The 25,637-nt window shown below is 46.0% G+C and overlaps 1 long non-coding RNA gene across 1 annotated transcript in view, besides 2 other annotated features; it reads right to left on the bottom strand.

Annotated features, from left to right (window-relative positions):
- Positions 1 to 5,478, bottom strand: part of TRIB1AL (TRIB1 associated lncRNA) — a 76,581-nt gene extending 71,103 nt beyond the window's left edge. The window contains exon 1 of the long non-coding RNA NR_186610.1: positions 5,250 to 5,478. This is a non-coding gene — a long non-coding RNA (TRIB1 associated lncRNA). The remainder of the gene's footprint in view (positions 1 to 5,249) is intronic.
- Positions 17,010 to 17,210: a silencer, noted in NCBI's record as "peak7163 fragment used in MPRA reporter construct". NCBI's record gives its function as "represses an SCP1 promoter by STARR-seq MPRAs in K562 erythroleukemia cells {active_cell/tissue: K562}" and the evidence as "EXISTENCE:reporter gene assay evidence [ECO:0000049][PMID:32103011]".
- Positions 25,122 to 25,416: a silencer, noted in NCBI's record as "tiled region #8664; K562 Repressive non-DNase unmatched - State 5:Enh". NCBI's record gives its function as "represses a minimal TATA promoter and a strong SV40 promoter by Sharpr-MPRA in K562 cells {active_cell/tissue: K562}" and the evidence as "EXISTENCE:reporter gene assay evidence [ECO:0000049][PMID:27701403]".

Genomic DNA, 25,637 nt, shown 5'->3' with positions numbered 1-25,637 from the left:
TAGAACTACCTTAGACTGTTATGTGACCCAGTAACACCTGTCTTTAACCATGACACATTTCGGGTCTATTTGTTACAGTAGTTAGCCTACCCCAACGAATACACTCCATTTTATAAATGTAGAAATGGACACACAGAGGTCCCTAGGAGGAATAAGCTTAGCCGTTATTACCATGAAGTTGGCCATGAAGCTCAATGGCAAGGACATACTGGTCACATTAGTGTTCATCATGGACATCAAGGCCAACAACACCAGATCAAAGAGGCTACGAAGGAGCCCTACGACCTTGACTGGCCAAAGCCCATACTCTGATTAGGCCTAATGGCATAACGAAGGCATGCATTTGCTCCCTGGCTACAAAGCTTTGGACACTGCCAACAAATTGGGATTATCTCAACTAAGTCCAGTTGCCTAAACATTTTTAGCATCTTTTTAAAAAGTAGCTTTCCATTTTGTATTCTCACCAACAGTGTGTGAAAGTTCCATTTGCACCAAATCCTCATCATCAGTTGGCACTGTCAGTCTTTTTATTTTATTTTATTAATTGAGACAGGGTCTTGCTCTGTCACCCAGGCTGGAGTGCAGTGGCATGATCATGGCTCACTGCAACCTTGAACTCCTGGGCTCAAGCTGGGGCTACAGGCATGTGGCACTGCGCTTGGCTCATTTTTTTTTTTTTTTAAATGTTTTGTAAAGACGAGGGTCTTTCTCTGTTGCCCAGGCTGGTCTCAAATTCCTGACCTCAAGCAATCCTCCCACCTCAGCCTCCAAAAGCACTGTAATTACAATCATGAACCACCATGCCTGGCCCAGTCTCTTTCATTTTAGACATTTTAGTAGGTATGTATTGGTATTTCATTGTGGTTTTAATTTACATTTCTCTGATGACTAATGATGTTGAGCCTCTTTCCACATACTCATTGGCCCTTCATATATATTCTTTGGTAAAGTATTTATTAAAAATCTTTTGACCATTTTTAATTGGATTGTTTGTCTGGCAAATATTTTCTCCCAGTCTGTAGCTTATCAACTCATTTTCTTAATAGTGTTTTTCAAAGAGTATAAGTTTTCATTTCAATGAAGTAGAGTGCACTATTTTTTTATTTTGTGGTCTGTGCTATCACTTGTTTTTTATGATTTAAAATAGTTTTATACCTCATCCAGAAAATTCTTTGCAAGATGAAACTGGATGATCTTAGAAGGTTAAATTTAACATCAGAATTTATTTTGGGGGCAAGGGGCTAGGTTTTCATTTGGTGTGTTGTGGCTTTTAAAAAATCTTTGTTTATGACAGTGGTTACCATATGAGACAGAAAAAATTAGGGTGATTTGAAAAAGCAGTTCAGAAGTTTTGTGAACACAAGACTCAGCAGAAGAGTGACTCGGGAGAAGACCAGGAGGCATGCTTGTAAATTGAGAGAACTAAGATTTGAGGACAAATTCCTTTTGAATGTCAAGTGTCCAGTATGGTGTCTTTCTTAAGCAAAGCTACAGTGCTAACAGAGGAAAAAGTGTTACCAAGTTAGCAGGAGAATGTGGCAGACAAGACCCATGGTCCTGGCACCGGCCACATCTTAAATCCGCGGGTGGTCCTTCAACCCCACCCCCCAACCCGTGCTTGACCAAGAGAAAACTATTTCTGCTGCTTAACCAGGCTCCTGGAAGGGCCAATTTATTCCCTCCCACGTTGAGCAGACTTCAATAACTAAAGCATATGGCTTCCTGCAAACAGGCCCAGCCAGGAATTAACTCCTTCCTTCCTTCCCCTGCAGTTATAACCAATTAGATCTTTCCAGACTAATGCATGCCCCAGCTCACCAGGAAGGAACAACAGTCGATGGCAGATTTTCCATGGCTTTCTCAGTGTCCTGCTGGCCCTGGATCTCCCTGGAGTCAGCCCAAGGTATTTCAGGGTTGACATTGCATGACATTATATGGCTGCTTACATCCAAGCCTGCAACTGCTGACCCAGTCTAATTTGAGACAGCGTTCATGCTGGCTGCTGTTATGGGCCCATGCTGCAGGTATTCCCATCAGGGCCCTGTCCCAAAAGATGGCATAAAAGGTCACCAGGTTTGGACTAATTGAATTTAAAAGGCTATTTGTTTGAATCTGGATTTTTAAAGAGAAAGATACACAGTATAATGAAAAAGAAAGTGATTGGGCTGGGCACAGTGGCTCATGCCTGTAATCCCAGCACTTTGGAGGGCCAAGGCAGGTGGATCACTTAAGGTCAGGAGTTCAAGACCAGCCTGGCCAACATGATGAAACCCCATTTCTACTAAAAATACAAAAATTAGCCAGGTGTGGTGGTGCACTCCTATAATCCCAGCTACTCGGGAGACTGAGGCAGGAGAATCGCTTGAACCCAGGAATTTGAGATCAGCCTGAGCAACATAGGGAAACCCCATCTCTACAAAAAATAAAAAATTAGCCAGGTGTGTTGATGTGTGCTTGGGGTCCCAGCTACTCAGGAGGCTGAAGTAGGAGAATCGCTTGAGCCCGGGAAGTCAAGGCTGCAGTGAGCCATGATCATGCCACTGCACTCCAGCCTGGGTGACAGAGCCCAGCATTGAAGATGAGGTGACAGCTAAAGAAGATGAAAAGAAATGGCTGGAGGAAGAGAAGGGAGGGGAGGTGACTTGGGGGCCCCAAGGAGTCTCAGGGAAAATATGGAAGCCATGAGGAGCATCAGGAAGAGAAGACCTAGCCATGCTGGGGTGCTTGGCCTTTGGGAGGTCAGTTATTGCTGAGAAGTGGTGGAGAACAAAGCCACGTTGATGCAGGTGGATGAATGCATTACAAATGAAGGGAAAAAAAAGGAAGTACAGTAAAAAGCCAAAGCCAGTGGAGTCAAGTGATAGCATCAAGACAGGGAACATCTTGGTATATTAAACAGTCACAGGAAGGAGTGGGAGAAAATAAGTCCAGAGAGGAACAGAAAGAAGTCAGAAGCCAGGAGCTGCACTGGGTCAGTGGATGGAAGCCAGCGCCCAGCCCACAGTGGTGTTTGGTGAAACCCTTCACAGGGGGCCACCAACACGGAATGTGCTCGGAGAACTTTGACTCATGAGTGATAGAGAGCAAGGGCAGAGAAGTGAACAGCCCTGCTGACACTGTGACACAGTGCTAGGAGGTGGCCAAGGGAGATCGGTGTGATAAATGGGATTTCACCCAAAGTTCCAGGGTCTAGAAATGTGCTAAGGGCAGGGCGGGGTACAGGGGAGTTGGGGAATCACTGCATTTGGCCATGGGAGGCTCAGAAGGAGGTGAGGATGAAGTCCAAGTAGGAGCTTGGACGTGATCTCAATTCTTCCCTAAAATGTGGGAGTCCTCATCAGCCATTGAGGGTAGCAGTAAGGAAGAGCAGAGAATTCAAGATCTGAAGAGAAATTCTAGTCTTTTGAAATTCCATGGTCACAGTAGTTTTGCCTAATATTTGTCTTAATCCTTTGCAAAGTGCTTTCACTGACAGTTGTGTTCATTTGGGAACAATTAGTCCCCTTCTACAGAATTGGGGGAAACTGAGGTTTAGAAAAGTTCAGTGGCTTACTCAAGATCATACAGCTGGAAATGGCACAGCTGGGACTGAAATTCATGTTTCTGTGATTCAAGGTCCAACCCTGTCTCCCCGACCCAGGGAGCTGTTAAAATCAACCCGACTATCCATTTCTTAGGCACCCCTGTGTGCTAGACACCATGCTAAGGCATTGCCGGTGAATTTCACACTAGCAGACATGTTTGTTGTTTGCCCAACACCTGCTACACTCTCCTGATTTTACTTACTCAAAACAGCCCAGAACTGGAAATCATTCACATGTCCATCAGCAGGTGAATGGAGAAGCAAATTGTGATGTCTCCATACAGTGGAATGTTACTCAGAAATAAAAAGGAACCATTTGCTGGTATACACAAACACATGGATGCATCTCAGAAGATGCGAATATACACAAAAACATGAGTGCATCTCAAAAGATGCTAGTATACACAAAAACATGGGTGCATCTCAAAAATATCACTTGGCATAATGCATCCATGTCTTTGGATGCATCTCCAAAGATCACATACGTAGGCTTCCATTTCTATGAAACTGTAGAAGCAGGTAAATCTAATATGTAGTAGCCGAAAACAGATTAGTGGCACCTGAGATCAGGGTAGGGTGGTGAATTGACTGAGAAAGGATACAAGGGAAATTTGAAGTGATAGAAATGTATCCTATGGCATTATGGTGGTGGTTACATGGGTACACACATCAAACTGTATATGTGAAATTGATGCATTTTATTTTTGAAAATTATACTTCATTAAAGAAGACGATGCAAGGGCCGGGTGCAGTGGCTCACGCCTGTAATCCCAACACTTTGGGAGGCCGAGAATGGTGGATCATGAGGTCAGGAGATGGAGATCATCCTGGCCAACATGGTGAAACCCCGTCTCTACTAAAAAATACAAAAAATTAGCTGGGCGTGGTGGCACATGCCTGTAGTCCCAGCTGCTCGGAAGGCTGAGGCAGGGGAATCACTTGAACCCAGGAGGCGGAGGTTGCAGTGAGCCGAGATCGCGCCACTGCAATCCAGCCTGGGCGACAGAGCAAGACTCCGTCTCAAATAAATAAATAAATTAATTAATTAATAAGACAATGCAAAAAATAATTTTAGCATTTGAGATGAATCACAGAGATGAATATAATACAAATATATATTAATAAAGAAATGGAGGAAAGAAAGGCTGAACTTAACATGAAGCCAGAGACAAAGTGAATTCACAAAGCCTACATCGATTGCTTAATTGAGGGAAACTACAAATTGGGCTCTGAGCTTCCCAGAAGCCAAAGCAAAAAAAAGGAAAAGAAATATTCACAATCTTTCATACGTATGAAAAAGAAAATAACAGTGTTCATAAAATTGGATCATAGAGATATGGCTTGTAAGTATTATGAGAACACACAGAAGGAAGTGACTAACTCTGTTTAGGAAAGTGAGGAAATGCTACAGAGATAAGGATTTAAAAAAAAAAAAGGCCAAACAAACAAAAAAACAGTGAATGCTGACTTCAGGGAGGTTGAATGTGAAAGGGGTGGGATTGAGCCACTGAATGGGAAACAATCAGCTGAGCTCATGTCCTAGATGTCCTTCAGCTCTAAAGAGGTGAGATCAGAGGCCGTGGTCTCAGAAGCAGGAAGGAGGCTGGGGCCCAAGGAGGGAACTGTCGTCCCACAGCCAGGAGAGGCATTTAACATATTTACTCACCAGTTTGCCATGGATCTATCCAAATCAGCATCAGACCCCAGCTGGACCATGTCTGGAAGGCCCTTGTCATGTGGGTATTAAATCTTTCACTGTTGGATCATGGGGAGGTGAAGGTCCCAGCGGGTAGGAGCCGTTGGGGAGGTGAAGGGAGTTACTAACCCATAAAGAGCATGTTAGTATTTCAGTAACAATCCAGGCAGATCGCGCCCAGCTATCAGCTGTGGCTCACCCCTGCCCATACCTATGACCTCTCCGCCCAGCTGCCTTCCACAGTCCAAGTCATGCCTGATTATCACCAGCTAATGAGAATTCCTGGCCTTGGTCTACTGCCCACACTCAGGAATTCGCTATTCATGAGAAATGTCAGCTTTACGAAAGTGGGCCCTGTGTGTCAGCTCTTTTTCCCACATTCAGGGTTTACAGCTGACAGTAGTTTGTTTCACATGATTTGCTGATGGGGGAAGAGGCCGTAATCCAGGAAACTGCTCTGGCAAATCACCCCTGGGCCAACAGAGTATTCTGGAACATTCTTTTTATGTTTCCCCTTAGAAATCATTTGGAAAGGGAAGTGTTGAGATTTAAACAAGGCTAGAGAGGAAGATTTCATGCCTGAGGGAATAATGGAGCCAAATGCTGAAGCTGCCACACCTCAGCTTCAGCGATTCTCCTGCCTCAGTCTCCCAAGTAGCTGGGATTACAGGCACCTGCCACCACGCTCCACTAATTTTTGTATTTTTAGTAGAGATGGGGTTTCACTATGTTGGCCAGGTTGGTCTTGAACTCCTGACCTCAGGTGATCTGCCCGCCTTGGCCTCCCAAAGTGCTAGGATTACAGGCATGAGCCACTGCACCTGGCCTCACATGACTTTCTTCTTTTCCTCCTAATCAGACCTCTGGACCAAGAGTTGACAAATTTCATAAATGATGACAAAGGCAGCCTATGGAACGATGACATTCTAGGGTACCAGCCTGGGAAGAAATATCTTAGAATGCAAACTTCCTCAAACACAGGGACCCTGGATTTTAGGTGTTTGACTTGGTGATCTCTGAATGGGGCTGAGCACAGGAAATACTAAAGAGCTACAAATACTCAGAGAGAACAGGAAGGGCTGAGCTCCCGTTGGCCACTTGACATAGTGCCAGCTTTCTTCAGGGTCCTACTCCACCCCTGCCAAGTTTCCAGTGAACCACAACATCATAGAATCAATTACATTCTCGCGACTGTTAATATGGCACCGTGAGGTTCACACAGGCTCTCAACCAAGCCTTTCACCACCCCAGCAAGGAAAATTCAGAACGCTTTACTGAGACTGGGAAACTGATGCCCAGAAAGAGGCCCCAAGACACACAGTTAGTCAAGGGGAAAACAGGCTAGCAGTCAACAGTTTGGTCTTGCAGTCAGAAGAATCTGCATTGAAATCCTTACTGGCTCCCCTCAGTTTGTTACCTTACTGTCTGAGTTTGTTTCCTCCTCTGCAATACGGTACATGCTTCCGGAACAAGGCTCCAGGGCCACCCTGCCAGGGATCCTAGGTCAACCACTTAGCAGCTGAGTGATCATGGGCTGGTTACTTAACCACTCTGTGCCCTGGTTTACTCATCTATAAAATGAGGATAATATTTGTACCCACCACACGCACAACATGCGTTACTCTCACAGACATACGTTAAAAACAAAGAAGTCGGACCCAAAAAGGCACATCCTGCATGATTCATTTATCTGATGTTCGAAAACAAGCCAACTGTTTAGTGGGAATGGGGCTTCCTTTTGGGGTGATGAAAATGTTTTGGAGACACAGAGAGGTGATGGTTGCCCAATATCGTGAATGTGTTCAATGTCACTGGATTATTTTCTTTAAAATGGCTAATTTTGTAAATAATGTGAATTTCACCTTAATTTTTAAAAATAATTAAGTTATTAATTTTGAAAGTCAGCCAAACTCATTGACAATGCTGGAAATCAAAATAGTGGTTACCTTCTTGAGGAGAGGGTGGTGGTAATGACCGAGAACGGCCATGAGGAAGGCTTGGGGAAAACTTCTATAGCTTAACCCAGGTGGTGGGGGCATGGGGACACATAGGTAAAAACTGATTAAGCTCTGTGCTTAAGATTTTTGCACTTGCAGGGCTATTGTGAAATTAAGTGAGGTAATCCATGTCTAGCTCTTTAAACAACCCTGACACATAACAAATGCTCAATAATTAGTAACTCTGGCTGGGCACGGTGGCTCACACCTGTAATCCCAGCACTTTGGGAGGCTGAGGTGGGTGGATCACCTGAGGTCAGGAGTTCAAGACCAGCCTGGCCAACATGTTGAAACCCATTTCTACTAAAAATACAAAAATTAGCCGGGCGTGGTGGCACATGCCCATGGTTCCAGCTACTCGGGAGGCTGAGGCAGAAGAATCACTTGAACCTGGGAGGCAGAGGTTGCAGTGAGCCAAGAACGCACCACTGCACTCCAAACTGGGTGACAGAGCAAGACTCTGTCTCAAAAAAATAATAATAATAAAGAAAGAAAATTAGTAACTCTTATTAGTGTCATCATTATCGTATGCAGTCTGGAAGGTTGGATGAGATGATACACATAAGGCACTTAGGCAGGAGTTTTGTATATGCCCCAATAGAGGCAATTTTCACTAATATTAAATCAAACCCAAACCTCTGGCTCAAGATTCAGAGTGCTTTGCAAAGTGCTGTCCTGCCCACTCCTAGGGATTGGTTTGACATGTGCTATGTGGAAGAGAGCCAAGGATTTAAGGATTAGGGCTTGGTACACCGCAGCACAGCCTCTGGATAAGCTGGCTTCCCTCCCTCAGGCGAGTCTGGGTACAAAGTAAACCAGTTGCCATCACAAAGGCAGACTTTGGAAGAGAACAGTCACCTCACATTCACGCAAAGGTCGATGGTATCTGAGAAAGAATGGGCCAAGTTAAATCTAGCTTTTATTGTCCCCTGACTGGTGGGGGACTACCCTGCTCATTAATCTGCTCATTTGATTGGCATCCTTTCCTGCCCAATTCCCTTTGACTGGCATGCTTCATGCAGACCCAAAAGAATAATCTTCCCTTCATTGGGCCACACAATCCCAGGTACATATCCGCCTCTCCAACACCTATGATGTGGGGCCGTGCTCATACATCGGGTATCTCTCCTTCCAAATCCCAGACAAGAGCCCTGTTTCAGTCAACTTTTCAGCTCAAGGGTGGCTCCTGGAACACAGCAGGGACTAAATGTGTAAAGGAGAAAGGGACAGAGGGAGAGGCTCCCTAGTTGGGTAGATCCTTTCTTTTTTCTTTTTTCTTTTTTTTTTTTTTTTGAGACGGAGACTTGCTCTATCGCCCAGGCTGGAGTGCAGTGGCGCGATCTCTGCTCACTGCAAGCTCCGCCTCCTGGGTTCATGCCATTCTCCTGACTCAACCTCCTGAGTAGCTGGGACTACAGGTGCCCGCCACCACGCCTGGCTAATTTTTTTGTATTTTTAGTAGAGATGGGATTTCACTATGTTAGCCAGGATGGTCTCGATCTCCTGACCTCGTGATCCGCCCGCCTCGGCCTCCCAAAGTGCTGGGATTACAAGCGTGAGCCACCGCGCCCGGCCGGGTAGATCCTTGAGAACAGAATCAGTTCCCTCCCTTCTGATTCTAAAAAGATTTGTTTGGAAAGAAAGCACAGAAACAGATAGGGGTTGATCCGGAGCGGGCTGAATATGCAACTACTTCCTGGTTCCTTCTGAGTCAGTTCAATTCCCTTTAGAAAGAGCTACCAATATCCAGAAATGGCAGTATTGTTGCTTTGTGGGGGGAAAGTGAAGTCGAGGGTGGAAAGCATTTGGGAGGTGGGGTAAGTGGGGGATTTGTGTAATTTTGTTTCATTTTGTTTTCTGTTTGGGGATTAAGTCCGCCTATCCCTTATCAGCATGGCAATTTCGCAAGCATATAACGTCAACCACAACACATTTTCATCTAAACTAATAAGCTGCATTTAGATCTGAAAAATAGGTGCAGCTCTTGACCTCTGGGGACATCCCCCCCGAAAACCTATGCCCTCCAGTCTAATCGTGAGAAAGACATCAGACAAATCCCAGTTGAGAGACACTGTACAGAATATTTCAGCAAAGCATTCCTCCAAATTGTCAAGGTCATTAAAGACAAGAAAGTCTGAGAAACTGTCACAGCCCAGGGGACCCTAAGGGGCACGGTGACTAAATGTAATGTGGGATTCTAGATGGAATCCTGGAACAGAAAGAGGACCTCAGATAAAAACTAAGAAAATCTAAATAAACTATGCACTTTACTTAATAATAACGCATCAGTAATGGTTCATTAATTGTGACAAATGTGCCATCCTAACGTAAGATGTTAATAATGGGAGAAACTAGAGTATATGGGAACCCTCTGTGCTGTCTTTGAAATTTTTGTAAATTAAAATCTGTTCAAAAAAATCAGATTTTTGTGTTTTTTTTTTCTAAATGAAGTACTGCAGAGCGTTCAATGTTAGTAACAGGCTGGGTGCAGTGGCTCGGGCCTGTAATCCCAGCACTTTGGGAGGCTGAGGCAGGAGGAGCTCTTGAGACCAGCCGGGGCAAGATAGTGAGACCCCATCTCGAACAAAAAAAAAGAAAAAGAAAAAATTCATTAGCAGGGCATGGTGGCATATGCCTGTAGTCCCAGCTACTAGGGAGGCTGAGACGGGAGGATCGCTAGGGCCCAGGTCGTTGAGGCTGCAGTGAGCTGTGATCATGCCACTGCACTCCAGCCTAGGCAACAGAGCCAGACCCTGTCTCAAAAAACAAACAAACGAAATATTGAAAAACTCTTCCCCCTTGCCCCCTCAAAAATGTACCCAGTCATCAAGAGTTTAACACATAAAAGATTTCACCTCTCCTGTGTTTCTTCCCCCACAAAGTGTCAGACCCCATTTGAAGTCCCAAACTATTGGAGTTCAGGTGGGAAAATGATCTATGCCCGAGCTGCCCTACATTTCAGCATTTCAAGAATAAAAACAGACCAGGCACCGTGGCTCACGCCTGTAATCCCAGCAATTTGGGAGGCCTAGGCGGGCGGATCACCTGAAGTCAGGGGTTTGAGACAAGCCTGGCCAACATGGCAAAACCCTGTCTCCACTAAAAAATACAAAAATTACCCAGGTGTGGTGGCATGCTCCTATAATCCCAGCTACTCGGAAGGCTGAGACAGGAGAATCACTTGAATCCAGGAGGTGGAGGTTGTAATGGGCCAAGATCACACCACTGCACTCCAGCCTAAGCAACAGAGCAAGACTCCGTCTCAAACAAAAGAAACAAACAAAAAAAGAATAGAAACACCGGGTGGCAGGCACCTGCAGTCCCAGCTACTCAGGAGGCTCTGTCAGGAGGATCACTTGAGTCCAGGAGTTTGAGTCCAGCCTGGGCAGCACAGAGAGACTCATCTCTAAAAAGGAAATAAAAAATAAACAGAAATGTTTAAAAATAAATAAAAATGACTCCAATATTTTCAGCTACAAACAACATGTTTATTCCAGATGTCCAAACTTCACAATCTATTTGTTTTAAAATATATATATATATATCGTAATTTTATTGCATGCCAAGCACTGTGCTAGGCACTAGAGAAACATTGACAAGAAAGACAAACACAGCCCCTTCCCTCCTGGGGCTTAGTGTTCCTTTCTAGGATGCATGATACACAGCTGAACCAGTAAAGGGCTATGGGGGTAACAGTGACCAGGAGAACCTCTGCTCAGAGTCCTTGCCAGGAACAGCGACCGGTGGTCGGGAGCCCTCCGAATCCTCTGTCTGCGTCTCTCTTCAGACCAGAGAGCTGATGAACTGCGGTTGGATACAGCCTATGGCATTCGGGTCAGAAGTATTCCAGCCCAAGTATTTAGGGGCTTGAAATTTGTCTTAAAGGCAAGGAAAGACTTTTTACAGTGGCCACATGACTTTGACAAGTCACTAATAACTCTTAGCCCATCGCTCCCTGAGCATCCAGGGAGTACAGCCACTGTGCTACGGTGGAAGAGATGGCAATTACAGCGGGAAAAGAGGCTGGAGAAGCTTGAGGTCTAGTGCCAGACACAAACCAGAAAACAGACTGTGGAAATACAGTGTGGGGAGTGCGGTGGCCTGCAAGGCACCCCAGGACTAGAACCCACAAACAGAGGCTTTTTCAAAAGATCAACTTCATCGGGCCGGGCGCAGTGGCTCACGCCTGTAATCCCAGCACTTTGGGAGGCCGAGGCGGGTGGATCACCTGAAGTCAAGAGTTCAAGACAACCCTGGCCAACATGAAGAAACCCCCGTCCCTACCAAAAATACAAAAAATTAGCCAGGCATCATGGCAGGCTCTTGTAATCGCTGCTACTCAGGAGGCTGAGGCAGGAGAATCTCTTGAACCCAGGAGATGGAGGTTGCAGTGAGCCGAGAATGCGCCACTGCACCCCAACCTGGGCAACAGAGAGCGACTCCATCACACACACACACACACACACACACACACACACACAAAACAGCTTTATTGAAGTGTCATTTACATAAATAGAATGCCTCTGTTTTAAGTGTACATTTTAAATTTTATGAGTTTGACAAATGTGTACACCTGTTCACCACCACCACAATCATGTATAGAATATTTCCATCACCCCCAAAATGTCCTTTGTGCATCTTTGCACTCAATTCCTGCCACCCACCCCCCAACCCCTGGAAACCACTGATCTGTTCTCTTTCATTATGGTTTTGCCTTTCCTAGAACTTTCTGGAATCATACAGTAGATACTCTTTTTTTTCTAGTTTCTTTCATTTAGTCCAATGCTCTTGAGACTCACCCATGCTGTTGCATGTATCAGTGTGTTCCTTTTCATTGCTGAGTAGTATTCCATTGTATGGATGTACCACAGTTGGTTTATACAATCACCAGTTGATGGACATTTGGGTGGTTTCCAGTTGAGGCTGGAGAAATAGCAACAGCAGGGGTACTGTGCTAAGGGAAGATGATGGGAAGACACAGGAAGATTTGCAGCAAGAGGATCCCTTGTAGTTTGTGCATTGCAGTCTGACAGTGACCTACTGAGGACTGACACTTGTTTGTAATGGCCACCAGATACCCAGGTACAGAGTTTAATAGGAAGTAGAAGAAGATCCATGCTGAATATGTGGAAACTGATATGTAATGGTTGAAGCCATGGTGTTGGTGAGATCACCCAAGCAAAGCACACAGAGGGTGGAGTTATCTGAGTGCTCACCTTTCTCCCCCATGAGCCTGGGAGAACCAGCTAAGTGCAGTGGTTAAGAGTATGTACTCCAGAGCCAGACTTCTGGGCTTCAAATGCCAGTTGTGTGATGTGGGAGCTGGCATTTGGTCTCAATTTCCTCATCTGTAAAATGGAGGATAAAAATATACCTACCTCATTGGCTTGATATAAGGGTTATATGCGTTCATTCATGCGTAGCTCTTAGCACACTATCAGGCACTTGCACACAGGAAGTGCTACGTAAGTGTTAGCTATTTTTGATATCATTTTTCTTTTAAAAATCTGGGGTGTAGGTATCACCAAGACTTAAATTTGAATACCAACCCCATGCTTGAGAAGCTGAAGGACCCTGTGAAATTTAACATCTCTGAGCTGAAAGTTCCTTACCTGACAAATGAGAATAATAATTCCTCTCTCATTTGTTGGAGGAGTAATTGAGTACAAGATGAAAAGTAGAAACTGACTGGGCACAGTGGCTCACACCTATAATCCCAGCACTTTGGGAGGACGAAGCAGGGGATCACCTGAGGTCAAGAGTTCGAGACCAGCCTGGTGAAATAGACCACCTGGTGAAATAGACCACCATGCCAACATGGTGAAATGCTGTCTCTACTAAAAATACAAAAATTAGCTGGGTGTGTTGGCAGGCGCCTGTAATCCCAGCTACATGGGAGGCTGTGGCAGGAGAATTGCTTAAACCCAGGAGGCGGAGGTTGCAGTGAGCCAAGATCGTGCCACTGCACTCCATCCTTGGTGACAGAGCAAGACTCCATCTCAAAAAAAAAAGAAAAAAGAAAAGTAGAAACCATCAGAGACCTCTCCTGTGGGGTTAATCTCTGTTTTTCTCCTCCCCTCCTCTGTGTTCCCACAGAACACATACATTACTATTCCAGCTCTTTCCTCACTGCTATGGTGCACTGCTTACTGGTGTATTAGTCAGGATGGGCTAGGTTATGCTGCAGTAACAAACAGCCCCCAATTCCCAGTGGCTTACAATGACAAAGGTTTCTTTCTCACTCACCCTACATGTCCACCACAGGTTGACTGCTGTTCTGTTCACCCATCGTCACTCTGGAGCCCAATTGAACAGTGCAGCCTGTTTCTGAGGGCATTGCTGGCTGTTATGAGAGACAGAAAAGAAATGTGTTAAACCTGGTGCTGGCCTTAAGGCTTCTGTCCAGAAGTAATACACGTTTATCCTCCTCATGTTTCATTGTTCAAAGCAAGTTAAATGACTATACCTTGTTGAACATGGCCATGATCTGCCATCCGTTTAAAGGGAGGAACAGTGAACTTTGGTGGATAGTAATATTATATCACAACTGGGCTACATCTGCCACTAAACAGAGCCTCTGGAAGGCAAGGTCTGGGCACTAGTCACAGCCACACCCCATGCCTGGCACAGTGCCCCCAAGGTTTGTTGAATTAAGCAAGGTTGAGGGTTCTTTAACTTGGCCTGGAGCATCTAGATTTACTCTGCCCCAAGATGGAAAGCTCTCCTCTGGTCACCTCTCCCATAGAAAGGGGAGTGAACCCATCATCACCAGGAGGCAAGCAGTCTCCATGCCAGGTCACCAGAAGAAGGTGTGTCTGCTAGCAGGAGGAAACTCCCACAGGTGCCAGCTGCTGCCCAGGGGACCAAGCCTCATTTGTATGTTGGCACAATAACAGTAATTCATCAAGTGCTTTACAAGTGTTGTTTCATTTGACCTTCAAAACCTGTGGACCTCAGGAGGCACATAGCTCACAGCATCCCCAGCAGGAAGATAAGGCCATCAAGACAGTGAAGTACGAGCCTGAGCAACATGATGAAACCCCATCTCTACAAAAAAAATACAAAAATTAGCCAGGTGTGGTGGTGTGCACCTGTAGTCCCTGCTCTTCAGGAGACTAAGGTGGGAGAATCCCTTGAGTCCAGGACGTCAAGGCTGCAGTGAGCCATGATCATGCCACTGCACTCCAGCCTTGGCAATAGAGTGAGACCCTGTCTCAAAAAAAAAAAAGACTGTGAAGTAGAAACTGGAACCCTGTGCACTGCTTGTGGGAATTTAAATGGTGCAGCCACTGTGGAAATCAGTAACGTCAGTTTCTCAGAAAAGTGAACATAAAATGACTATATGATCCAGCAATTCCACTTCTGGGGGTATATGTAAAAGAACTGAAAGCAGAGACTCGAACAGATATTTGTACATCCATGTTCATAGCAGTATTGTTCACAATAGCCAAAATGTGGAAGCGACTCAAGTGCCCAGGGATGGGTAACCAAAATATGGCAGTATATTCATACCATGGAATATTATTCAGGCTTAAAAAGGAAGGAGATTCTGACACATGCTACAATATGCATGAACCTTGAGAACATGATGCTAAGTGAAAAAGCCAATCACAAAAAGACAGATACTGTATGATTCAGTTATATGCGGCTTCTGGAGCAGTCAAATTCATGGAGACAGAAAGTAAAATGGTAGTTGTCCAGGGAAAGAGGGAGGGGAAATGGGAAGTTTATGTTTAACAGGTATAGAGTTTCCATCTGGGAAGATGAGAAAAGTTCTGGAGATGGATGGTGGTGATGATTGCACAATAATGGGAATGTATCTAACACCACTAAATTGTACATTTTAAAATGGTTAAGATGGGGCTGGGCATGGTGGCTCATGCCTGTAATCCCAGCATTTTGGGAGGCCAAGATGGGCATATCACCTGAGGTCAGGAGTTTGAGGCCACCCTGGCCAACATGGTGAAACCCCATCTCTACTAAAAATACAAAAATTAGCCTGTCACAGTGGCAGTCACCTGCAATGCCAGCTACTCAGGAGAGTGAGGCAGGAGAATTGCTTGAACCCTGGAGGCAGAAGTTGCAGTGAGCTGAGATCGTGCCACTGCACTCCAGCCTGGGCAACAGAATGAGACTCCGTCTCAAAAAAGAAAAAAAAAAGGTTAAGATGGTAAATTTTATGTTATGCCCATTTTTTACCACAATTTTTTTAAAAGGATCAAGGAAAGTGACTTGCCCAAGGGCATGCAGCTGGGAAGAGAAAGAGCCATAACCTGAGAATCTGAGTGCAGTGCTTTTCCTCTAATACTGCACGGCTTCTCACCATGACTGCCTTTATCTCTGTATTAACCTCACCCACAGTCACCTCACCACCTGAGTGTGGAGTGTCTCCCTTCCCCAGCCCTCATCCTGCCCAGTGGGTAGAATATAGTGTTCTTTGTCACTGAATCACTCATTCATTCATTCAACACACATGATTGGAACACCTATTATGTGTCAGACACCCCCTCTACTCTAGGTGTCAGGCACAGAGGCCAGTCCCTGCTCTCCAAGGACTATCGGGCTAGCAGCAATTTCAGTGTGCAAAGCACTGGGAAATAAAGATGAGCAGGAATCTTCAGGCACACAGTGGACGAGGGCCTTAACTCTGCCTGGAGATATCAGGGAAGGCTTCAAGGTGGAGAGGACATTTGATCAGAACCTTGGAACATGAGTAGGAGTTTTCCAGGAGGAAAAGGAGAATATATTCCATGTAGAGGGAACAGGGTGTACAAAGGCATGGAGAGAAGAACAAACAGATGGTCAAAGAATCCCAAGTTATCAGAGTTAGGCCCAGTATTCGGGAAGTTGGGAAGTTTGCAGAGACTACATCATGAGGAACAAAGTATGCCAAGCTAAAGAGTCTAACTTTCTTCTTATGGGCAACAGGGTATCATTATCAGATTTAGCAAGGGAGTGGCACAATCAGATTTACATTTTAGAAGGGTAGAGAATAGCTCATAGGGAGAAGTTCAAAGACAAGAATATTGACAAAGCCCAGGCAAGACGTTAGGAAAGCCTGAGCCAGGGAAAGGCAAGGGGGATGCAGATGAAAAGTAGAAATCATTCAGAGACCTCTCCTATAGGGTTAATGTCTGTTCTCTCCTCCCCTCCTGTGTGTTCCCACAGAACACTATACATTCCTTTTCCAGCTCTTTCCTCACTGCTGTGGTGCACTGCTTACTGGTGTATTCGTCAGAATGGACTAGGTTATGCTGCAGTAACAAACAGCCTCCAGTTCCCAGTGGCTTGCAATGACAAAGGTTTCATTGAACAGATCAGTGGTTTCCAACATGCCACTGGAATATCAGCACCTTAGGACAGGAATTTTTGCCAGTTTTATTCACTGCTATATGCTCATTACCTGGCACATAGTGGGGTCTCATAAATATTTGTTGAGGGACCAATAAATACTTGTTGAATGGTCAACATCAGAGGTAACTAGCAGAAACAGGACTTAATGAACATTGCATGTGAGAAATAATGGAAAAAGAAGAGTTTAAAATTACTCCCAGGTTTTTGTGTTGACCAACTAACTGGGCCAATGGCTATGTCTCATCAAGCTAAGACAGCTGGTAACCCGAGAAGCTTTCAGTTTGATGATGATACTTTCAGCTTTAGGCTCTTTGAGTCTGAGCTGAGACAGTTGTCATCCAGTTGGAGCTGATACTCACCCAGGTAGTATCGGATTTACAGGCCTGGAGTTGGAGAATAAGATCTGGGCTGAAGACAGACATTTGAGAGTCCAGAGTGGTGTTTGAAGCTATCAAAAGCAGGCAGTGCTCCAGGGAGGTAAGTCTCCTCCTCTGGAAACAGCGGGCCTCAACTTTTTGGCCAAATTTGCTTTTCTTTTTTTTTTTTTTTTTTTTGAGACAGAGTCTCGCTCTGTCACCCCAGCTGGAGTGCAGTGGCGCCATCTCAGCTCACTGTAACCTCCACCTCCTGGGTTCAAGTGATTCTCCTGCCTCAGTCTCCTGAGCAGCTGGGACTACAGACGCCCGCCACCACACCCGGCTAATTTTCTGTGTGTTTGTTTTTTTTTTTTAGTAGAGACAGGGTTTCACTGTGTTAGCTGGGATGGTCTCCATCTCCTGACCTCGTGATCCACCCGCCTCAGCCTCCCCAAGTGCTGGGATTACAGGCGTGAGCCAACGCGCCCAGCCCCAAATTTCCTTTTCAACCTAGCATCCATAGCATCCCTGCTATCATCCTTTCCCAGAAAAATCCTAGAGAAGACCCCACATACATGGGGTCCTTGCAGATTCAGCTTCCCAGCCTCTGGCCATGCTCTTCCCCCTTCTACACAGGCTTCTTGGTTGGCTTCCTCCTTCCATCTGCCCTTACCCCCAGGCAGGGCCCAGCTCCGTCCTCTGCCCTGGAGCTGCCTTCAGCTAGGCCCAGACCAAAGAGTCCTGAATCTTCAGGATTCCAGCACCATTTGACACCCCACACCACAGCTTTTAACGTGGTACTGGCCTTCTTTGTGATTTGAGCATGTGTCACGGCTCATGTAGCACTGACAGTACCCACTGCAGGCAAGGCCGGAGCCTGGGGCTAGCGAGTCTTCTCTCCCACTGCCCAGCCCTGGTGCAGGCTGCCACCACCAGTGCCCTCTGGGATCAGGACAGTGGCCTTCCAGCCCTTCTCTCAGCTACAACCTTGCCTCCCCTCCTGGATCCCCAACCCTCCTACCAGAGTCATCTGCCTAAACACAGGTCTGCTAACATCACTCCCCTACTCCAAAACCTCCCGGTGCTCACAAAGGCCACAGGACAAGGGCCAGACCCCTCAGCCTGGCATGTAAACTCTCTTTCAGCCCTTCCCAACCTACCCTTCCAACCTGACACTCCACTATGCTGCCCCCAAAAACACAACGCCCCTGGCTGACTCTGCCTCCCCCTCTAGAGCCTGAGTTTAACACCTGGCTCTATCACTTACCAGCTGTGTGACCGTGGGCAAGTTATTTAACCTCTCTGGGCCTCCATTTCTAGGCCTCAGTAGAATAAAGATCATAAAAGTATCTACGTCTGGCCGGGCACAGTGGTCCAAGCCTATAATCCCAGCACTTTGGGAGGCTGAGCCGGGCAGATCACCTGAGGTCAGAAGTTCAAAACCAGCCTGGCCAACACGGTGAAATCCCATCTCTACTAAAAATACAAAAAAAAATAGCCGGGCGTGGTGGCGCACACCTGTTGTCCCAACTACTTGGGAGGGTGAGGCAGAAGAATCACCTGAACCCAGGAGATGGAGGTTGCAGTGAGCCAAGATCGTGCCACTGCATTCCAGCCTGGGCAACGGAGCAAGACTCCATCTCAACAACTACAACACCAACAGAAAAGTATGTCCTAAGGCTGTCGAAAGGATTAAATGAGTTAACGTGTGCAAAACACAACAAGGCTAGGTAAACGCCAATAGCTGGGCTTACTGTTATTATTATTATTCCCACCACTGAGCTTCTGCTCAGGTTGTTCCCATGATCTCAGTATCATGGTTGTTTCTGTTTGCCCTTCATCAGACAGCAAAGGACTGCGGTTAGACACTGTCCCTCATTCCCCTCTGTCGCAGCCCCCAGCACAGCCTCCCACAGCCTCCAGAAGAGCTCTTGACACATAGTATGGCAATGTGGTTAGTAAAATTCACAGGCTCTGGAGCCTGACAGTCTTGCGTTCACATAGTGGCTGCAACACTTACTAGCTGTGCAACTATGGGTAAGTTACTTAACCTCTCTGAGTTCCAATTTCCACATAAGGAATGAGGATGCCCATCCCACTCTTGCAGAGTTGCTGTGAGAATAAATCCGACAATATCTGAAGACTGTGGACAGTGTCTGAGGCAGCAGAGGCCCTCGGTGAAGGTTAGCTTCTTTCCACATTCAATACATGTTGAAGTCACATCTTCCACTGTGTGAGTGTAGGCACGTTGAGGGCAGGGATTAAGCCCAAGTCCTGTGAATGAGAAAATTTGTGATCTTTTAAGTAGATGCTTGGCTGGGCGTGGTGGCTCATACCTGTAATTCCAGCACTTTGGGAGGCCAAGGCAGGGGGATCACTTGAGGCCAGGAGTTTGAGACCAGCCTGGTCTCGTGGTAAGCAAAAACAACATGGCGAAACCCCATCTCCACTAAAAATACAAAAAAGTTAGCCAGGCGTGGTGGCGCGCAACTGTAGTCCCAACTACTCAGGAGGCTGAGGCATGAGAATCGCTTGAACCAGGGCAGCGGAGGTTGCAGTGTGCAGAGATCATGCGACTGCACTCCAGTGTGGGTGACAGAATGAGACTGTGTCTCAAAAAAAATAAATAAATAAAATAAAATAAGTAGATGCTGGACAAATATCTGAGCCATGGCAGTGCTATGTGAAAGGAGCAGTCTCCTTGGTCCCTGGTTTGGGGTGGTGAAGATCAACTCTAAGTGGTCCTTAGTGGGGGTCGGGCCATGTTGGAACTGGAGGAGGCAGGAGGTTAGCAATGAATTGCTATTTGTTGCTAACTTTCCCCTGGGCAAAGGCTCTGTAGTCTGACTCCTTAAAGTGGAATGAATGATGCGGCTCCCAAGGACTCCTGGCTTCCCTCCCCACTTCTACCTCCGGAGGCTGTGCGACACCAAGGAGGCTCCAGAGACCCTGTTTTCCTGGTGCCAGAGACCAGCGGAATATCATTCTGGCTGCAGCAGGGAGAGAGGAAGCCATCTCTCTCCTGGATCAAGCTATATTTGACTTGCTAGGCAAGGCCATCCCCGCAGGCCACATTCCGTGGCCCCAAGCCAGGCCGGTGTGTAATACGCTCCGGCCACCCTGTCGTTACCTAATGCTTTCCTAATCTGCAGCTTACGCAAGAGGAGTACAAATCTCTGAGAACACCAAGAGAAACACCCCACCAGGCACCTCCCTGGCCGACCTGCGTGCTGTTTTCGGGTTGGTGGTTTCATCACGGAGGTGCTCGCTGTTGGCTACCATGAGGGCCACCTTGGTAGGCCATTTAGAGCCCCATTTCTCACATGAGGACTCCCCCAGTTTGCACCTTCACCCCTTCTCTGACAACACTCACACTGCACTAGATATTCTATTTGACACAGAGGCGGGGGACGAAGTCTTGCACCTTTCTGTCTTGCTATCTGTGAAGCAGATCTTTCAACAAATGCTGCTGGAACAATTACACAATTAATATTAAAAAAATATTGACTCTACTTCACGCCATATGTACAAATTAACTCAAATGAATCATTGACCTAAATGTAAAACCTAAAACTACAAAACCTTTGGAAGAAAATAAATAGGGGGTATAATTTTGTAACTAACCTTGGGTTAGGTAAAATTTCCAAGAATAGAAAATACACAAATACGTGAACCACAAAAGAAAAACATGGATAAATTGGACTTACTAAAAATATAAAACTTTACTTCTTCAAAAGACACTCTTTAAGACCATAAGCCGGGCGCGGTGGTTCACGCCTGTAATCCCAGCACTTTGGGAGGCTAAGATGGGCGGATCACGAGGTCAGGAGATCGAGATCGTCCTGGCTAACACGGTGAAACCCCGTCTCTACTAAAAATACAAAAAAAATTAGCCGGGCGTGGTGGCGGGTGCTTGTAGTCCCAGCTACTCGGGAGGCTGAGGCAGGAGAATGGCGTGAACCCGGGAGGCGGAGCCTGCAGTGAGCCGAGATCGCGCCATTGCACTCCAGCCTGGGCGACTGAGCAAGACTCCGTCTCGAGAAAAAAAAAAAAAAAAGACCATACAAAGACCAGCTATAGACTGAAAGGAACTATTTGCAAAACATATATTGGAAAAAGAATTCGCATCTGGGATATAAAAGGAATTCCTACAACTCAATAAGAAAACCAACACCCTGGCCGGGCGTGGTGGCTCACGCTTGTAATCCCAGCACTTTGGGAGGCCAAAGGCAGGCGGATCACTTGAGGTCAGGAATTCAAGACCAGCCTGGCCAACATGGTGAAACCCCGTCTTTACTAAAAATACAAAAATTAGCCAGTCGTGGTGGTACATGCCTGTAGTCCAAGCTACTCAAGAGGCTGAGGCAGGAGAATCACTTGAACCCGGGAGGTAGAGGTTGTAGTGAACTGAGACTGCACCACTGCGCTCCAGGACAGGGCAAGACTCCGTTTCAAAAAACAAAAAGAAGACAGGAGAATAAGCATTTGAAAAGATGCTAAACCTTAATTATTCATTAAGGAAATGAAAATTAGACCACAATGAGATACCATACACATCTACTAGGATGGCTAAACTATAAATAAATAACTAAATAAACCTGACATACTGAGTGTTGGTGAGGATGTGGAGCAATTAGAGTTCTCGTATATTGCTCATGGGGATGCAAAAATGGTGCAGCCACTGTGGAAAACAATTCAGTGATTTCTTATCAAGTTAAACATATGGCTGGGTGCGATGGCTCACACCTGTAATCCCAGCACTTTGGGAGGCCAAAAGTTCAAAGACCAGCCTGGGCAACATGGTAAGACCTCGTCTCAAAATAAACAAAATTAGCTGGACGTGGTAGCACACACCTATAGTCCCAGCTACTTGGGAATTTGAGGCAATAGGATCACTGGAGCCCAGGAGGTCAAGGCTGCAGTGAGCTATGATCATGCCACTGCACCCCAGCCTAGGCAAGAGAGAAAGACCTTGTCTCAAAAAAAAGTGACCCAGCAGTCTTATTTCTAGGTATTTACCCAAGAGAAATGAAAACATATGTCCACACAAAGGCATGTACACACGTTTGTGGCAGCTTTATAATAACCTCCAACTGGAGACATCCAGATGTCGTTCAACTGGTAAAGAAATAAACAATATGTGCGGCCAGGCGCTGTGGCTCACGCCTGTAATCCCAGCATTTTGGGAGGCCAAGATGGGCATATCACTTGAGGTCAGAAGTTCGAGAGCAGCCTGAGCAACATGGCAAAACCCCGTCTCTATTAAAAGTACAAAAATTAGCTGGACGTGGTGGTACACGCCTGTAATCCCAGCTACTCGGGAGGCTAAGGCAGGAGAATCGCTTGAACCCAGGAGGCAGAGGTCGCAGTGAGCCGAGATCGCACCACTGCACTCCAGCCTGGGTGACAGAACGAGACTCTGTCTCAAAAATAAATACACAAATAAATAATAAACAATATGTGGTACATTCATGCAATGGAATATTATTCAGCTGTAAAAATGGCCACATTACTGTACATACAGCAGCACAGATGAATCTCAAAAGCATCACGCCTTGTGAAAGAAAGTAGACACAAAATATTGCACACTGTATAATTCCAAAACTTGAGACGAATTATATCAGTGATTGCCAAAGGCTATTGGTAAGAGTTTGGCTATAAGCAGGCGTGAGAGATTTTTTTGTGGTGATGGAAATGGTCTATATTATAATTATGGTGGGACTTAAACAAGTGGATGCCTTTGTCAAATCTTATCCACCTGCAGGCCAGGCATGGTAGCTCACGCCTATAATCCTAGCATGTTGGAGGCCAAGGTGGGCAGATCACTTGAGCCCAGGAGTTCAAGAGCAGTGTGGGCAATATGGTGAAACCCTGTCTCTATGGTCCTATAAGCATTAAGATTTCAAGATATCTGACAAAAAGTTTATTAGATTATAAGATCTACGATGACAGGAACTGTAATCTGTTATTTACCTAACTCTCCAATGTCCATCTAAATGACAAACATTTTGTGGGGAGAAACACTTCTTTCAGGAGAGAGTGGAAGTATCACAATCACAAAAGGAGGAAACAACTCCATTTCATATTCCTATCTGTTGGAGAATAATTTCTATGATTATTTTTGGAAAGTAAAATAAATTTGATTTCACGAAAATAATGGCAAATCAGTCCTTTAAAATTTAAATCACTGGCTGGGCACGGTGGCTCACGCCTGTAATCTCAGCATTTTGGGAGGCCAAGGTGGGTGGATCACTTGAGGTCAGGAGTTCAAGACCAGCCTGGGCAACATGGCAAAACCCTGCCTCTACTAAAAATACAAAAATTATCCAAGTGTGGTGGTGCACACCTGTAGTCCCAGATACTTGGGAGGTTGAAGTGGGAGGATCGCCTGATCCCAGGGAACAGAGGCTGCAGTGAGTCATAATCACACTACTGCACTCCAGCCTGGGTGACAGAGTGATCAAAAAAAAAAAAAAGTATCCACCTGTACACTAGACAAGGATTAATTTTATTATAGTGAAATTCTACATCAATAAATATGATTTTTAATGTAACATAAAATCCCAGCCTGTGAAACATGGGGAGACCTTGTCTCTACAAAAATTAGCCAGGCACGGTGGCCCATGCCTATAGTCGCAGCTACTCAGAAGCCTGAGGCCGGGGGATCGCTTGAGCCCTCCTTAAGCCCAGGAGGTCAAGGCTGCTGTGAACCAGAGATCACCCCACTGCACTCCAGCCTGGGCGACAGAGCGAGACTCTGTCTCAAAATAAAATAAAATGTGAATCTAATGGGACTTGCCCTTCTCATCATGAAGATAAAATGACACCAGTGATAGTCACAGCCAATGTGTCTCAAGCACAGTCTCAAAAAATGTACACACATTGTCTGATTTAAGCCTCGGTTTTGCTGTCCCCAACACACACAAAGCACTTTCCTGTTCCAGGGCCTTTGCACTTGCTAATCCCTTTACCTGGAAGACTCTGCCTCTCACTTTCCTCAGGTTGCTACTCAAATGTCATCTCCTCAGAAGAGGCCTTCTCGCTGCCATTCTATCTAAAATAGTGTCTCCAACCTGTTCCTCTCAGTACTAGAGATGCTGACGGCTGGACAAGGTCAGAGAAGCCAGACTGCTCTCTGCATGTAAGCAGGAGGCTAGAAGGCTGCCTGACTGCCATGGTTCGGTGGCATGTAAAGCATGTAAATAAACATACAAAGCATATAAATCAGCGAGGCTCTGGGCAGGAGTAAAGAGCAGAATGATGCTTTTTCGTCTTTCTTTGCACTCCCTCCATCCCACCATACAGTGGGATGCAACCTAGGGTTCCTTGGAACACAGTTTGAAAACTACCACTCTGGAACCTTGCTGATTTAGTGCTCACTTTGGCAGCACATACACTAGAACCCCCTGATTTAATCATTATACAAATATTCATATTTACCACTATAAAGCATCATTCTAGGTACTGGGTATCCAACAATAAGCAAAACAGATAAACGTGATGGATTTCACTTTTATGGGATGACTTGCATGCAACGAGTGCTTATCACGTGCCAGGCGCTGTTCTGAGAGCTTTTTGTGTATAAACTCATTTAATTCTTACCACAACCCCACAAGACAACTACTGCCATTGGCTTCATTTTAGAGACAAGGAAACTGAGGCCTGGGGAAATTAAATAACTTGCCAAAGGTCATACACCAGGGAGTGGCAGAGCTGGATCTGAACCCAGTTAGGAATCCTGCCTAGGTCTAGCCTCTGGTGTATGATCTCAGCAGGTGCACATGAGCCTGTCTTAGCAATGTAGGCCCCTCTTCCTGCCTCTCCAAGACTGGGCTCCAGGTGAAACTGGATTCCATGTGACTTTGAGTTGATGCAAGTGACATTTTGTACCTGCGGATGCTGAAAGGCTCATCTCCGGGTATGGGAGAATGTTCTGTCTGGCCCAAGTGCTGAGTTTATTCTGGTCACTGCTACACCGTTTCGTCTGCTGTTGGGAAGATGACTGCGTCCAGCAGTTCTGCTGGTGTTACTGACATGACAGGGTGAAACTGATATGTCTGCAACCAGAACGTCAGCACCAAATTAGGAAGCGAGTGGGGACACAGCCAGATGAATGCTGAGTAAGAGCAGATAGCACAAACTCTTCCAACAGGAGGGTGGGAGGGAGCTTGGAGGTCATTTACACCCAGGCCACCCATTTTGCTAACAGGGAAGCTGTGGTCTCGAGAGAGGAGATGGCTTGCCTAGGATCCTCTCGGCTGTGTTCTCAGGCTCCTGCCATTGCTTCCAAGGTAGAGGACCGTGATGGGATTGGAGGCAGAGAGACCAAGCCCTCCCCCAGTCCCGCTTGAGCAAGTCACTTAACATCTGAGTCTTGGTTCCCCATCTGTACAATGGAAATGGTAATATCCCTCAGGGAGGCTGTCAACATTCCAGGAGATAATTCTTTCAACAATGCCAACACCGAGCAGCTACTCAATCATACCAGCTCCTCTCCACTCCCCTTCTCCTGGATTTACCCCGAATATACCGATTTTCAGGAATTAGCTCATCAGAACCAAGCCTTAACAGGTCACTGTTTGAAAATGGGTTTTGCTGGGCTCTGTGACTCATGCCTGTAATCCCAGCACTTTGGGAGGCTGAGGCAGTCT

The sequence above is a fragment of the Homo sapiens genome, chromosome 8 (genome assembly GCF_000001405.40).
Source record: "Homo sapiens chromosome 8, GRCh38.p14 Primary Assembly".
NCBI lineage: Eukaryota > Metazoa > Chordata > Mammalia > Primates > Hominidae > Homo > Homo sapiens.
The sequence above is the reverse complement of the archived record's forward strand: the minus strand, read 5'-3'. Positions and strand labels throughout refer to the sequence as shown.